At 53.1% G+C, this 15,757-nt stretch overlaps 1 protein-coding gene and 1 non-coding gene across 38 annotated transcripts in view, besides 3 other annotated features; one reads left to right on the top strand and one right to left on the bottom strand.

The window, feature by feature from the left end:
* HDAC4 (histone deacetylase 4) overlaps nucleotides 1–15,757 on the top strand; it is a 353,482-nt gene that overhangs the window by 85,376 nt on the left and 252,349 nt on the right. For 6 of the 37 annotated variants that reach the window (XM_047446487.1, XM_017005394.2, XM_011512219.3 and 3 more), the window contains exon 1: nucleotides 7,062–7,734. The exons of 26 other annotated variants lie outside the window; for them this stretch is intronic. In XM_047446487.1, coding sequence (XP_047302443.1) covers nucleotides 7,641–7,734 — 94 coding nt within the window. In that variant the 5' untranslated portion in view covers nucleotides 7,062–7,640. Of the gene's footprint in view, nucleotides 1–7,061; nucleotides 8,140–15,757 lie in introns of those variants that run through there. 5 more of the 37 variants (XM_047446481.1, XM_047446478.1, XM_047446477.1 and 2 more) reach the window with 2 other exon arrangements.
* Nucleotides 4,868–5,368: an enhancer, noted in NCBI's record as "H3K4me1 hESC enhancer chr2:240232601-240233101 (GRCh37/hg19 assembly coordinates)". NCBI's record gives its function as "activates a minimal SCP1, AML or CMV promoter by ChIP-STARR-seq in primed H9 embryonic stem cells {active_cell/tissue: H9 hESC(primed)}" and the evidence as "EXISTENCE:reporter gene assay evidence [ECO:0000049][PMID:30033119]".
* Nucleotides 8,063–8,709: an enhancer, noted in NCBI's record as "H3K4me1 hESC enhancer chr2:240229260-240229906 (GRCh37/hg19 assembly coordinates)". NCBI's record gives its function as "activates a minimal SCP1, AML or CMV promoter by ChIP-STARR-seq in naive H9 embryonic stem cells {active_cell/tissue: H9 hESC(naive)}" and the evidence as "EXISTENCE:reporter gene assay evidence [ECO:0000049][PMID:30033119]".
* Nucleotides 10,729–10,812, bottom strand: MIR4269 (microRNA 4269). The gene has a single exon (NR_036229.1). It is a non-coding gene; the product is annotated as a microRNA 4269 (primary transcript).
* Nucleotides 13,046–13,135: an enhancer, noted in NCBI's record as "active region_17387". NCBI's record gives its function as "activates an Ori minimal core promoter by ATAC-STARR-seq in GM12878 lymphoblastoid cells {active_cell/tissue: GM12878}" and the evidence as "EXISTENCE:reporter gene assay evidence [ECO:0000049][PMID:35858748]".

Here is a 15,757-nt window from a genome sequence, read left to right as displayed (position 1 = left end):
CAAAAGATAAGTAGATTATATCATTTTATTAGATTTTTCTCAAGATTTCCTATAGGAAACTTATATCAGTTTGCATTTCCGCCAGTAGTGTCTGAGCGAGCCTATTCCCACGGGGCTTTGGAGTGGAGTGTATTACTTACTTGCTGATTTGGTAGATGAAGGATATTTCAGTTTGTAAGGGCCGTTTTTCTGTCTTTGCTTTTGGCTTTTCTGTTAGGCTTTTGGTCTCTGTTCACACAGTTTGTAAGAGTTCTACTGATGGAAGAGATTTTGGCCTTTGTCTTTCATGTGTATTGCAAGTAACTGCTCACAGTTTGTCCACTGTATTTTGACATTCTTTCTCATGCTGCTTTCACCCTGTAAAAGGTTTTTCCTCCATGTATCAAACTTACTGTTTTTTTTAAATTGCATCTGGATTTTCAGTCCTGGTTAGAAAGCCTTCCTTGACTTCCAGAAGATGTTTTCTTTGAGTGCTTGTACGGTTTCGTTTTTTACATTTGCATCCCCAATTCGTTTGGAGTTTACCCTTGTGTATGGTGTTAGGTTTGGATTTAATGTTATCTTTTCCCAGACAGCAACCCAATTGTCTCCAGTACTGTTTATTAAAACATCCCTGTTTGTCCCAGTGGTTGAGATGGGCACCTTTATCCTGCCCTGGAGTTCCGTCTGTACTTCTGTTTCTGGACTTTCTCACTGTCACCTGGTCTGCCGGGTTGATGGTGTCTGTCGTGCTCTCTGAAGCGTAGGGGCTTTGAGGCGTGTTTTAGCATGTGGTTGGGCATGCTGGGTTTCATTTTGAATGTTTCTCTAGCGCTCGTGCATCGGCATTGCCCGTTGCTCTCCCATCATCTCTCTTCTTTCTTTCTGGGATTCTGATTACAGGTGTGTAAACCAAAAGTATCTGAGACAGGTCTCACTCAATTTAAAAAGTTTGTTTAGCCAAGCTTAAGGACGTGCCTGTGACACAGCCTCAAGAGGTGCTGACAACATGTGCCCAAGGTGGTCGGGGAACAGCTTGGTTTCATACATTTTTAGGGAGACATGAGGCGTCTGTCAGTATGTGGAAGATGAACATTGGTCCAGTCCAGAAACGCGGGACAACTCGAAGTGTGAGGCTTTCAGATTATAGGTAGATTTTAAAATGTTCTGATTGGCAGTTGGTTGAAAGAGTTATTATCAACACAAAGGAATGTCTGGATTATGATAAGGGTTTGTGGAGACCAAGGATTTACCATGCCGACGAAGCCTCCGGGTAGCAGGCTTCAGAGAGAATAGACTGAAATGTTTCTCATCAGACTTAAAGAGTCTGTTCTATCAGCAATTCCAAAAGGGAGGAGGGTATCATGAGGCACATCTGAATGCCCGTCCCCATCACGACCTGAACTAGCTTTTCAGGTTAATGTTGGAATGCCCTTGGCTTGAGAGGAGGGGTCCATTCAGATGGTTGGGAGCTTAGAATTTTATTTTTGGTTTACAGATGTGTGTTAGCATATCTTCCTCTGTCCTTCCAGTCCTCTAACGTCTCCAGCTTTCTATCTCTTTACCTTTATGTGTTGCATCCTGGTTTATTTCTTCCGTGCTATTTTACTGTTCACTAATTCTCTCTTCAGCTCTGTCTATTAATACTTGATTAGTTAACTCACTCATTTAGTTTTAAATTTTAATGATGACAGTTTTGTTTCTACAAGTTCCATTTGGATCATTCAGATCCATGTGACACTTCTGATAGTTATTAATAATAACAGCTGAGACATCTGTCTCCTTTCTTCCTTAGCCTTGCTCCAGGGAGAGTGTGGGCTCTTCTAATCCCCCTTTTTGGCAAATGGGAAGCTAAGGCACAGGGAGGTTGAGGAAGCCACCAGGTTTGTACAGTCACTAAGTGACAGGATCTGGAGGCCTCTAGCTCCAGCCTGACCCTGGATGACCTCTCTTGTTTTGTCGAGTGTCCTTCGTATGTGTTTTGGGTCAGTGCCTGATTTTCCTACAACTGAGGTCTTTCCGGGACTTACTCCCGCTACCCATGGTTCTTGATTGTGACTTTATGTCCGTCCTTCTTGGATGTTTTTTTGAGGTTCATAGCGTGTTCCTCTAGAGAAGGTTTCTGCCTGGTGCTGGGAGGTGCCACCTGGGACATGCCTGTGTTTGCAGGTGCTAGGGATGCTCATCAGGCCTCATGGGTTGTCTGAATTCTCCCCAAACCATTGCGAGGGGTCTGGGATTATGAGTTCTGAGGGGAGTCCTCTCTCGATTTGACCCCTTCTAGCCAGCACCAAGCCCAGGCCCGGATGTGTCCCTTGCAGGCCTGTCTTCTGGCTTCCCCTGCCAAGGGAACTACAGCCCCTCCCCACGCACACTCACAGGGACGGTGCAGTGGTAAGAGGCAGTGCAGGTGGCTGCCCCAGGACAGGCCCTGGGCTCCAGGCTGGCTTTCATGTTCTATTTGCCCTGCCTTGAATTCCTGTCTTTGGAGTATATTCCTCACTCTTCAGCCAACTCAGCCCTGAGTATAATTAGACGTCTCTAAAAGTGCGTGTGCCATATTGCCAGGCGTGAAGGCTTTTCTGAATCTTCCTTTCTGTCACCAGTGCTGTACGTTGGCTTTCTTTTGAGGCGCTTATTTTCATAAGAAACTTTCTCTGTGTCCTTAACTTCCAGCAGAGAGTCTGGGAGATCGGGGGGTCAGGAGGTGCTAAGGGCCTGACCAGCTGTGTTTGCGAAGTGCCATGGAAAACTGGGATGATTCCGGTCATCACCTCTCGTGAGGTTAGGAAGAGTCCAGCCTGCGGTATCAGTGCTCGGTGGGATGGCCAGCCCCCAATTGGAGGAGCGGGCTCCTGGGCAGCCTGGGGATACTTGGTTCTAATCCAGATCCTCACACTCTTTGGGGAGGAGGCCGTTTCCAGCAAGTGAGTGTCCCTTGGGTTTCTCCTCAAAGCCCCTTCTAAAATTAGTCCCTGGCTGCTGCAGGGACATTTACATCAGCGCATTTTGTTAAGTACTTTTGTTGCTTTCCATTAAGAGCATATTTAAAAATATGAAATGAATTCAGGCAGAAGCCAGGCTCTGCCGCTGAGAACATCTGTGTGCTGGTGAGAGGGAGAGACTGGGCGGTGGATAACGGGCTGCAGCTTCCTCCTCCGCCACCTCGGAACGCCCCCGGGGAGGCACGGGACAGAGCCCAAGCCTGAGTGAAGCTCCCTGGCTGGGGGAACACCCTGCCCCAGGCTGGCCACCTTGACTCCTTGCTCTGCAGGCTGCCCCCGGCACCTCGTCTGCCTCCCGTCGGCAGCCAGTGAGAGGAGCGTGGGGCCTGAGAGCATTGCCTGCCTGCTGGCCGGCCGCCCCCACAGTGCAGAGCTGGAGCGGTCTTCAGAGGCTCCCGGTCTCCCTCTGCAGATGAAGACACTGGGGGAACGTGGCCTACCCACAGTCAGCAGGCTCCCCTCTCCGTGTACCAGGCTAGTCTGCCGGCGCCACGGCAGCTGGGCCACCACCACATTCTGCCCTCAGTGCTGTGGTGCAGTCGAGGGGTGTGCCTTGGAGGACCCATAGGAAGACCAACTTCATGTCCATGGGACACGCTGGAAGAAACGCCACAGACCTTGTTCCAGATGCAGTTTTCCGTTTTTATAAAGACAAGTGTGGATGTTTTCGTTTCATTGGACGCATAGAGGAAAGGTGACTTGGCTTCTGCTGAAGCCCAGCAGCCCATTCTTAGCGTTTGCTTTAGAATGGAGGACAGTCGGGGACATTTTCCTCGTGAATTTCACCATCATCTGGCTTTGGCCTTCTTTCCAACAATTGAGGAAGAAAGGGCCTAATGTGGAACTACGTGCGTGCGTGCCCTGCGTGTGGGCTCCTGGGCCAGCATGGATGGTGGTGCTGGCAGCACCACCACCGTGCAGTTGGGGGTGGGCAGCAGGCCTCTTGGCGGCAGCCAATGTCCTTCTCATCTTCCCTGTCAGGTGCTAGGAGCCCTGGCACCAAGGCTGTGGTGATGGTACCAGGGTTCTCTTAGTTGGGAGGGGCTGCATTTCCTCTGTAGCGTGGGTGGCTGGCTGGCCTGGTGTCCTGCCCTGCCCAGGGGTGCCCCTGCCCGCCCCTCCTTCCAGGTTGCAGTGTGGTAGGTGGCACCTTGGTGGCCAGTGTTTTGTGATGGTGACAGTGATGTCAGCGCCGAGGTTCCTCAAGTCTAAACTGAGATGATCTGGTGTGATTTTTCTTGGCTTTCAATTTTTGGGTAAGGCTTTTAGTGGGCATTCTTCTCTGTTTCCCCTTCCTCATGTTAGTCTAGGGCCCCAGGGAACCACAGAACCCCTGCTCTGGAAGGAACCTTTAGAGGAACCCGTTCTGAGCTCTTCCTTTCACAGGAGATTGCTCAGAGCTGCCCCGTGGGCTGCCCAAGGCCTCTTAGGTCAAGGACCCTGCTGGCTCCGGTCCAGACTTCTCCCTGCCATGTCACCGTGAGGAAGCACCGCCCCATCACTGTTCCATGATCATTGTAACACCTGCCATTAAAAAGCACGGGAGCTTCGTGTCAGAATGTAGTTTAAAATGTGTTGTAATGTTTGCGTAGAACAGAAACTTGAAGTTTTGTGAGAAACGGAGTCCCCTGTGTGTGGTTTTGGAGGGGCTGAGCTGTCCTTTCCTGTCATGGGTCACAGTGTCCCTCTCCCCCTCACCCATGAAATAATGACAGCGGCCTCCATTCCTACAAAGTCCTCAGTCGCGGGTGCCGTTTTATATCGTAAATCTGTCATCTTCAACTGGATGGTGTAACACTTGGATTCTACATTTCCCGGATGCTTGGAAAGGAGTGCCAGGAGTTATGTGTTCTGCGGATCAGAACAGCTGACGCCGGCTGAGGACACTTCATCCACTGTTTGCTCGGCGCTTGACAAATGCTACCCAGTCTAACGGTGAGCGTCGGGTGTCTCCGGGCTTGGTGCCTGCTTGTGCCACACATCTCAGTGCCATGCAAGACCAGCATGCCAGTGACACAGCAGGGGACACGTGGAGTTCAGGCTGCTGAGAGCTCGGAAGGGGCCAGGCCGTCCCCCTGGCCCTAAGGCTGCAAGGCTCTGCCCTGGAGCTGCAGAGCTAACACCTCACTCTGCGGGGTTGTAAAGTGGAGCTGATGCTGCTTGACCCCACAAAAGCTCACAGGCCTTTTAGGTGCCTGTTAATGCTGGAATGAAACCACAGGTAGCCAAGAAGGCCTGCCTGTCAGACCGCGACCGCGCAGATCTCAGCAGAATGTTTAAAAGGCGCTCTCTGCAGTTTTGGAATTGTGGCGCTGCTCTTGCTTAGTATTAGGGCTCAAGCAGGTTAACGTCAGGGTTCGTTTTCTTAAATGGCCGGTGGCCGTGGTGGTGTTGGACGTGGCTAACCTGGCACAGGGCAGCAGAGATCCAGGTGTCAGGCCAGTGGAAGGGTTGAAGCCTCTCACCAGCATGTCTGTTTTGGAGGGAAGTGTTGGACATTGAGTGAGGCCCCTCTGCACTCAGCGACCCTGCCCTGTGCTCCCAGACCCAGTTTTGGGTCTGCTTGGTTGGCATCAGGGTCCTGGCCCTTTCTGTGTTTTGGGACCTCTGTTTGCTTATCATATTTGCATCATTGCCTTTACTCCCTGGGGGGCAGAGGGGGGAGCTCCTGAAGCCATTTAGCCCTGCCAGCCTGGGTCTGCCCTTGTGCCTGTGCTGTGTTCTTTCTGCCTGGCAGTCCTGCCCTACGCAGTCTCATGGAGGCAGGGCTCATGGGAGGGGCCTTCCCTTGGCCCCAGCCATCCCCCCGGGAACATCACACTCTCTCACAGACACACTGTGGCCATTTTCTGTTGAAGCTACTCTGTGAAACATTCTCTATACTTGGTTCGGGGGGGAGCAAAATCCAGAATCTGCTAAACACCAATGCTGTCACTCAGAGTTTGTGTATCTGCTGTCTGTGGAGCTCTGGACCAGGCTTGAGGGACGCCTGGGGTTTCCACCCACATCTGGGGCAAACCAGACCCCCAAGTCACTGACATGTCGGTTTTTCTACTAATCACGTTGGCTTTGGCAATTCTGTATATAATAAGAAGTATTGTGTTCTCACTTGCACTTGGGCAGAACGGTTCACTCCAAGGCTGAATGACTGCCACGGACCATTCCCCCAGCAGGGGGTCCTGGGGTTTAGTGGTTTGATTCTGAGCACCTCTACGCACAGAGCCCCTTAGTGGGTTCCCTAACTGGACGGCTAACCCTGCTGTGGAATCTGACTTTTTCTGGACCGAAGAGGACAGGCTGCTCTGGAGAAACTCCTTGGGCCTTGTGCCTGATGCTGGCTCGGGCCACCCTGGCCACCCTCCCTTCATGCCCCATGGGACCAGGCAGCAGCATGGGAGGGGGCAGCTTCCAGAACACCCTTCTGCTAGGGGCTGCTGGCCTCCCTGCTGGCACGGCCACATCCATGGTCTGAGTGTGTGGTTGGAATGTTTTATCAACACCAGTCCTCACAGCTTCCCCAGATGAGCGAAGGGGAAGGGGATGGTGTGTGGGGGGATTGCCTCCCTTGAGGCCCCCCAGCTCCCAGGATACTTGCTGGCGGAGCTCTGCCTGCGGTGGAGGCCCTATGACTTGACCTCCATCTTCTCCCTGGGCCCCTCGCTGGCCCTCACTGGCAGGGGCTCCTGCACGCCTGCAAGGCCAGAGCCTCCCGCCAGGTGCAGGAGAAGTAAATGCAGGCCAGAGATAAATCGTATTTCCCTCTAACTCGGATGTGGAGTGAGAGGAAGGAAGCAGGAGTGGAGCTGAGTGTTAGTGAGAGGTGGCTGAGAAGGCGGGGTCCCGCTTCTTGCTTCCTTGGGCATTTGCTGTAGGTGCTGGGTTTCAGCCTGGAAGGGTGCAGCCTCTGCACTAAGTCTGGTTTGGTGAACGTTCATGGCCCCCAATATAAACAGTGTTCTGGGCGTTCTTTGTGACTCTCGAGCCGAAACACTGTGGTGATCTCTCGTATCATCTGCTTGTTATGTAATGTGACAACATGGATATGAAATAGAAACCAGATGTCAGGGTGGAGCGGCTGAATTCTTCCCCAGCGAGGCCGCCGGGAGAGCAGGACTTGGGTTTCTCCTGAGTTACGGCGCCGAACGCCCTGAGAAAAACGCCTTTGGAGCAGTTTCCGGGATTAAGCGAAAGTCTGGGCTGAAGGTAAAGCACCAAGTCAGTACGATTAACTCTTTTTTAAGAAACTTGTAAGGGATTTTCTGTGCTGTTATGTAACTGCTCAGTGTCTTCCAGCGAGCCGGCGGCTTGTTATCAAGAATCCGTTTAGAATGTTTGAACTCAGCCTCTGGGGGAGCTGGGAGCACTGTGGCACCTCCAGGGGCCTGCAGCGTGCTTCCGAGGGCTTGGGTGTAGAGGAAGGGGAACCCGTCTTTCGCCTGTGACAGCCTTGCCCTTGGGTCTGGGAGCAATGAGGACTCGGAACGTGAGCCTCCTGCTACAGGTACAGGCCCTGGGGGAGTGAGGGCGCTGGCGGACAGCAGTCTTGGCACTTCACGTTAGCAGATTCGGAGTTTCTGCAGCGGCTGAACCCCTGCACTGGGCTGGAAGGGGGGGACACCCGGAGGCCTGTTAACCACACTCTGCCTGGACTACACCATGAACATAGATCTTTGTGCTTTTGAAATACAAAAAACGAGCTCACCTGGATACGAAGTGTGGTTCCGGAAGCAGTATCTGGCTGTGGATGGAGGTTATGTATTCCACCAACGATATCTTCATTATTGTTATTTTCCTTTGGTAGCTGATCTTTCAGAGAGATCTGCAGATTCCTCACTTTGCTAAGAAGACTCTCTGAAAACAGGAAGCTAAGGAACTCCTCACTCCCAAGTTGATTACAGCCTCATGGAAGTGTGGAATTCTTATTAGGAAAGCCTGTTGCTGAGTACCAAGCAGGTTATCCTCTTGTCCCGTGTCACCAGGGGGCCAGCTTGATGAGGAAGAAAGTGACCCTGGCTCCCTCGTGTCCCCAAGGCAGTGGACTCCCCCCCGGGTCTCTAGCTCTCTTGTCCCTAAGCTGATAGCTCATCGTCAAGGAGGGCTTCCTGCACGCTGACCACCCCCATCTCACAGATGAGGAAGCTGGGGCCCAGGGAGGGTGAGTGATGGGGTGTAGGAAGGGTGAGTGACAAGGCCCAGAGAGGGCTTGTGATGGGCCCGGCTCTCACCGTTGGGGGTGGGATGGGCCATCCTTGGCTCCTCGCAGCTCGTTGCTGTGTGGCCACTCATTGCTGTGTGGCCGCTCACTTTGGGGGGGATGGGGACACTTTGCTGGCTGTTGCTGCCGGGCCTTGTGTTCCGTTTTCAGGTGGAGATCAGGAATTCTGAGATAGTGGCAAAACGTGATGTGGCTCGGGGTGCGTGGAGACGTGTGTGACAGTCCCCAAATCCACAGTGGCTGTGGGGTGGCGTTTCAGGCTGGGAAACCCTCTGGAAAGAAAGCACGAAACACTCCGACATCCTCATTCCATTTTGCTTGTTCTAAAAGAGAACTTGAAGAAAATCATCCCAGCAGCATTTGCTTAGACCAAGTGCGGTCATGAGAACGTCATCTGAGTGAGGAGGGCTTCTCTTGCATGCGTTTTCTTGAGCAGGAGTTGTCGTTTGGCTATTTGGAAAACCAAGTTTAGGGTCCCTGGTGAGTCTGCGAGGTCCAGGAAGCAGACACTCACTTTATCTAGGTGAGAGGACGGAGCTGCAGAGATGGGCCTTAGTGACCACTGGGCCCTCGTATCTCTGGCAGGTCCCTGATTAGTGGTGGGAGGGGGGTTCCCTTTTGTAGCCACTTGGTCTTTTGACAGCTTGGGGTACCCATCCTTCAAGCCCCTCTCTCCTGGGGCCCAGTGGCCGCCTCTGGGCATCACGGAGAGCCGCTCTTGTGTTGGGGCCTCCGGCTCCTCGGCTCTCTGCTTCTAAACAGAACACCCTCTTGTTTCTGAAAGTAGCCCATGGTCCCCTGAGGGTCCTGAGCACAGCCCCCACTCATCTGAGGATGACCATTGGGGCACGGAGCCTGCCCCAGGCCCTGGGCTTTGTGCCCAGGGCTCTCTTCTCCCTCCCTGTCAGGGTTTCCAGACCCCTCGTGGGCACCCAGGATGGACGGCAGGCACAGAGCTGGAGGGTGTGGCCTGAGATGGGCCATCCGGACGACTCGGGCCTCTGGGCTCACCAGAGTGCTGAATGAAGGCCGGAGGGCGAGAGTGGGAAGGATGGCATCACCCACCCTGCCGGTGGCCCCTATGGTCCTGCGGCTCCTGCTGCTTCTGGGTTACCCTGGGCCCAGGGTGCAGGCGCCCTTGGGGAGGTGCACACGGGAGGCTCAGGCCCTCCTTGGACATTCCTGAACGCCCCCATGCATCCCTGCAGCTCCTTCCAGAAGGTTCTCTCGATCCTGTCTGGCTCCTCGGGGGTGTGTGGGAAACCAGGCCAGGGTCTCCCGGTTGTTGGCTGGGGTGGGGTCCTGCCTTCGCCCCTTAGCATTCACCCCCTACCCCTTTTCACCATGTAAAACCCTGTGGGCCCTGGGCCCTGGATGCTCTGCGCCCGAGGACCTGGGTTCTGCCATCACCTGGGCAGTGTGGGGGGCATATAGGGGGAACATGGGGTGCCTGATGTAGTGCCTGTGTTTGACCTTGTTTAGGTGAAGAGCACCCTTTCCAGCTTATGTTTTGTATCATGACCGGGAAAGGTACGAAACAAGTGTGTCGGGGCCCAGATGATTTGATGGCTCTACGGGCCGAGTATGGGACACAGGATAGCTTGGCCCTGGGTCAGGTATTAGTCAGTCCTTGCTGGCACCTGGGCAGGGACACATCCGTGGATGGGGCCTGGCCAGGTGGCCTCTGAGGTCCTCGTGTCCACTGGAAGGCTGTGTCCTCTGTTGTAGTCACTGACTTGCTGGACCTGGGTGGGAGCTCACCCACCTGTGGATGGGCCAGGGAGCTCCTGGAATCACTAGAAAGATGAACTTTTTTTGCCTTCTAAATGTATGAAAAGATGGGAAATGATAGGAAAATAAGTGGAAGTCAGATCTATTCAGGAAAATGACTTCCCAGGGAAGAGCTGGGGTGCCTCCAAACCCAGAATCCTCGGTTTCTAGAAGCAAGGCTGACCGAGGTGGGCAGCATTCTTTGGGACCTTGAGTGATGAAGTAGTTACTTAAGCAGAGTGTTTCTCATGTGAAGCCAGGCAGTCTAGGACACTAGGAATCATTTCAGCGTGGGGGAGACGCAGACACTGTGCTTGCCCAGGGTGCTGCATTCATCTGAAATGCCGGTGGCTACCAGCTCTTTGTCACGGTTCCTCCGTGGTCTCCTTGAATGCTGTCAGATTCAGGGCCCGTGTGGGCAGCGGCAGCCTCGTTCCCAGTCGTGTTTAGGGAATGGGGTCAGAGAAGTACTTGCTAAAGCTTCCTGTGTGCACGTGTAATTGTGTGTGCATGTGTGTTAAATAAATGTATTTCAACTCGAAATACACGTTTCGTGGCCATCAGTCTAGGGATGGCTAGAATTTAGTCACTAAATGAAACTAAGCCGCACCGTCACCAATAATGTGAACATGATTAAAAACCACACTCAGTTCTTATTCATTTACCTACAAGTCCAGAAACTTTTAGAACTTATTTCACCATTAAAATAAATAGTTTTTTAAAAAATATACAACAATAAGGAAAAATTTGAAAGCCTCTTGCCCCTCCATCCCAGGCCTGACAGAGTGGCTTCCACAAAGAAAGAGGCAGAAGCCAGGGCTGTCTGTGCCTGCAGGGCGCTGTTGGGCTCACAGATGACCCAGACTCCCCCGTAATGGAGCCGCGGACCCACAGCGAGCCACTTGCACCAGGCTTAGCCAAGCTGACAGGCCAGCGGAGTAAGGAATGTTCCCTACCATTGTCCAGAAAATGTAACGAGGGTGAAGGTGTGCCAAGCAGACTCCCCGTGTCAGCCCTGAGGCGACTGCCATCGCTTTCAGAAACCTGACTACCAACCTGGATGAAAACCGACTGCTTGGTCATGGCCATGCAGTTAGAAAACACAGCAGCAATCCTCAGATGAGTGTGGCCGTATTTGTGTTACTCAAGCTGCTTTGTCATCTGCATTTGAAGAAACGTGGTGAGCCTCCTGTGTGTGCCCATGTGGCAGTGGGCACCTCTGCCCCCTGCAAAGGCTGTCTAAGAACACAGAGCCTGCAGTACAGGCCCTGCCTCCTGACATGCCCCAGGCCGGCTGGAAGAAAGCGCGGGACTGTCCTATTGACGTGGGGAGGGGACGGCTGGACTCTGTGATGCTAACTGTGTTCTCTGCTGGGCCATGTGGCTCCCCACAGAGACCCTGGGTGCCCAGTCATTCGCGTTCTCCTATGTGTGTGTATATATATTATATATACATGTATTTACTAACTTTAGAAAGCCCCCAAGGGGGCCTTGTTTCTGCTTGGACAGTCAGCGTCCATAGCGTGTCATTCCTAAGCTCCATTAAGGAGATTCAGAAGCAAGCAGTTACCCCTGGAGTCTGCACGCTGGGCACAAGGGTCACACCTTCGTTGAGAGCTCCTGACCCCAGGAGCCGAGGGCAGGACACGGTAGTGTTTACAGGACCTGGCAAAGGGGCACTGCCTTGTGTGTGAGGTTTTTTCACCAGTCAGTCCCTTTTAAAAACAGCATATCTTTTGAAGAACAAGAAGTTTACGCAGGCATAAGCAACTCACTTTGCACGTGGAGCTTTCAGGACGTTTCATGTCTGTTACGTTATAGCCTCTATCCTCATGGGGGCTCTGAGTTCAGCAGGGCCTGAGCTGTTAATCTGCTTTTTCAAATTATTAATAATGAAAGTAACACCATGCCACCACCTGGTATCATTTCATGCTTTCTATGTGCCTGGTGTTTACACGGCTTATCTCATTTAATCTTCCCAGCATGTAATAAAAATATTGCAACAGGTACTGCTCCTGTGTGGACTCCTTCCCCCGAGCTCACACTGCTTGAGGCCTTCCCAGCTCTGGGCTTTGTGTCCTGTGTGGACTTCTTCCCCGAGCTCACACTGCTTGAGGCATTCTAGCTCTGGGCTTTGTGAATATCCTGCTTTTATCCTCATTTATAGGTAAGAAAGCTGACTCAGAGAGGTTAAGCAGCTGGTCTGAGGTCAACTGCTTACGGGTCGGGGAGCTGGGCCTGCACACAGGGGTCTGATGCAGAGCTGGTCCTATCTGCTTTATAAGCTGTGGCTCACAGGGCACTCCAGGGGCTCGAGAGGACCTGGCGGGCTGAGATGAAGACTGGTGAGGCCTGGGAGGCAGGTGCTTGACTGAGGTGGGAAGTGGGACCTTGGTGCCAAGCATTCCCAGGGCCACGGGGCAGGCCTGTAGGGTCTGGTGGGTATCTGGGGTCCCGGAGAAGCCCTTGGCACGGGGCTTCATGAGAGCATAGGCGAGTGCCGCGCCCTGCAGTTGAGCACGGGGGATGCAGCTGTCGCAGTCGCTTTTGAAGAGTGAGGGGTGAGGCCTGCAGTTGCTGCCCGACGTTGTTTACAAGTGAGCAAGTTTTACAAAAAACATGGACAGCATCAGGGCTGACTTGAATTTTTTACTTGAGGCAGCAGCTCAACCTGTTGGTTTCCTCAATTGTGAATTAAAAAAAAAAAAGAAAGAAAGAAAACAGAGAAAGCTGACAACGTAACATTGATGAGAGGATTCTTAAGGGAGAACAAGCCACAGGCTGTCCCGAGAAAGGAGCGGGGAGATCGAGGAAGCACGCTGCCGTGTCTTGTTCGTGGGGTGCTTGTGACGCTCTCGCAGGATGCCCTGTGGGCCACACCACGAGTGCTCGGTGGCGACTGCAGAAGGGTGAGGGACGTTTCCCTTCACACCAGACGGCGGGTCTTGATGGCAGAGGAACCAGGCATCAGAGGAGGACAAGTCAATCCGGGAGCGTAGATAAAAAGGAAGCGAAACTTATTTCACATTGTCAAGCTGTCGGGGATTCCAGGGACCTTGTCCTCCAGGCCTGTCCCTGTGCCCTCCTGTCCCCAGGCCTGAGCAGCCGGGTGTGGGATGGGAACAGGCCAGGGCCAGGTGCCTCACGCCCTGAGGCTGGAGTCAGGCTCTGTTGCCACTTTGAATCCAGGGGCCCACCCTGAACCCTGAGCTGGGCTTCTGTTCAGTACGCGGAGGTGATGACCTCTCCCACCCGGGGGGGGTTTGAGGACTCCCGAGGTGGCAGGGGTGACGCCCAGCCCAGCATGCAGAGTGCCCAGGCAGTGCCCACACCTTTCCTCTCCCTGCCAAGGTGCTCCGGGCCTGAGCCTGTGTGGCCCCCTGCTTGGGGCTGTCACCACAATGCCATTCCCCGCACGCCCAGCAAGTCCCTCCTATGGGTGAGAGCCTAACTTGAGAGACTCTTTTGGGGAGGAGTAAGATGACCTGCCCTTCTCAAGAGTGAGCAGTTCTTAGATGACTGCCTTGAGCAGCGATGGTTCTTCCTGCAGGGGTGCGCCCACGAAACGCTCTGCGTGAAGCACATTGGTGCCATGCTCAGGCCCAGGGAGAGTGGAGGGTGCTGTGCTCTTGGACTGGGTCCTGGCTCGAGGGTTGAGGGGCTGGGCCATGTCCACAAAAAGTCACTGGATGGCTGGGCTGCTCCCACTGTGTCGCTGGAAGAGGGGCAGCGCCCGCTGCAGTGTTTGGAGTGCTTGGTCATGGCCCCACGTGGATTCTCCTTCCTGGGGGAAGCTGTTCCGTCCCCAGGTTTTCAGCTAACTTATCTGAGTTTTGATGAAGAGAGCAAGGGGTTTTGCTAATCTGGATTCCTGTGGAAGGGCCTCCTCTCTCTGCTCGTGTTTTATAGCTTGGCAACTCTAGTGCTAGTTCTGCAATATTCGAATTTGAGTAGCCAGAAGAATTTGCTGCCAGGGTGGCCTTGCCCTTGACTTTGAAATGAACTCACCCGAGACTTCAGCTTGATGCCTCCTTTGGCTAATGCTGGGTTCTGGGCTTTGGCCGCCGCCTGCCTGTCCATCACAAGGGGCCATGTTCTCCAATCAGGACAGAGTTCTAAGCATTTCACAGTAAAGCCTGCAGGAGTTAGGTTTTCTGTTCTTGACAGACTGAGAATGATACTGAGAATGTTTTCTGATTGATTTGGTGAGCTGTCTGTTTATAGCATCATTAGAGATTATTTTCCATGGCTAGGAATTATTCTTGACCTCACAGTAAAGGACTCTGAATCCCCCACCCCCTGCCTGTTTTTTTTGTTGTTGTTGTGTTTTTTTGTTTGTTTGTTTTAAAGAAAAGACTTGTACCATCAGTCTTAGGCGTAATCTCCTTGGCAGTAGTGAGGAGCAAGGCATCTGATGGAGAAACAAAGCATGGTAAGGTTTTTACCATTCAGGAATCACACCGCAGTAGCATTGTAGTATTTGATCACAATTTACTCTTACTTTTTTTCATAAAGAAAGAAATAGGCCTACAGTGGCTCTCACTTGTAATCCCAGCACTTTGGGAGGCTGAGGCAGGAGGATTGCTTGAGGCCAGAAGTTTGAGACCAATCTGGACAACATAGGAACACCTCCTCTCTACAGAAAAGATTAAAAACATTAGCTGGGCATGGTGGTATGCGTCTGTAGTCCCAGCTGTTCAGGAAGCTGAGGTGGGAGGATCCTTCGAGCTAGGAGGTCGAGGCTGCAGTGAGCCATGTCATACCGCTGCACTCCAGCCTGGGTGACAGAGGGGAGACCCTGTTTCAAGAGAGAAAAATAAAAAAAAAAAAAAAGAAAGAAAGCACCAGCAGAATTTAGAAATGTGGGCCAGTGTGGGAGCCTCGCCTGGCATCACTGGCCTCGCCTGGCATCACTGGCTGTGGGCTGCTGCTCTCGCCCTGGAGCTGTTACTTTGAGAGCAGATCGAGGACTCAGCAGGCAGGAGGAATGTTCACGGCAGGGTCAGTTCCCACGCTGCATACGCCCCACCATCGCCCCTCGTCGTGGCTGGGATGGGAGACCGACTTTAGAACCAGAGGCTGGGAAGAGGGAGATACCCCCTTCCAGAAGGGGCCTTCTGCCGCTGAGTAAGGGGGTGGTGCCCGGCTGGCTCCATGAGGGGCATGAGGGGTGCTGGCTATGCTTGGCCTGAGGGGTTGCTGCAGGAAGGCCTTGCTCCCCGCCGGGGCTGAGGGACCCGGCTGAGCAGCAGCAGCAGGAGGAATGAGCAGTGCTCTTGGAGCCCGGAGGAGGGGGCAGGGCTTGTCCTTCTGGACGGGCAGCCCCAGGAAAAGAGAAGCCCAGAGCTAAGGGCCCTTGCCCTAGGGAGGGGTCCCACATGGACCCCGAAGACGTTCCTCTCTGCAGCCCTTCCTGGCACTGCGTGGACACGATGTACGGAATGAGGAAAACGAGCTTCTTTCCCTTCTCTTTCACTTCTCCCTCCCATCACGCAGCGTGCAATTATGGAAGAGGATAAAGAAGGAAAGAGCAGTCGGAAAAATTCTGTAAGAACCGGAGAGGGGAGTTCGGGTGTTTTTACAGCTCCTGGGGTTCTCCGGGAAACAAAGGTGTGCTATTTCCACTTCTGTGTCTTCATTCCTGTTCTGCAGGGAAGCTCAGCCTGGCTTCATCCACATGGGTGGAGCAGAGTCAAGTTCAGTTGGGAATTTTTTTTTTTTCCTGCTCATTTGGAAAAAGAGGAAAAGACACTGGGATACAAAGAGGGCTTTATAAAGAAGAGGCCTC

This window comes from Homo sapiens, chromosome 2, assembly GCF_000001405.40.
Source record: "Homo sapiens chromosome 2, GRCh38.p14 Primary Assembly".
Classification (NCBI taxonomy): domain Eukaryota; kingdom Metazoa; phylum Chordata; class Mammalia; order Primates; family Hominidae; genus Homo; species Homo sapiens.
This window is presented reverse-complemented; position numbering and strand designations above follow the sequence as displayed.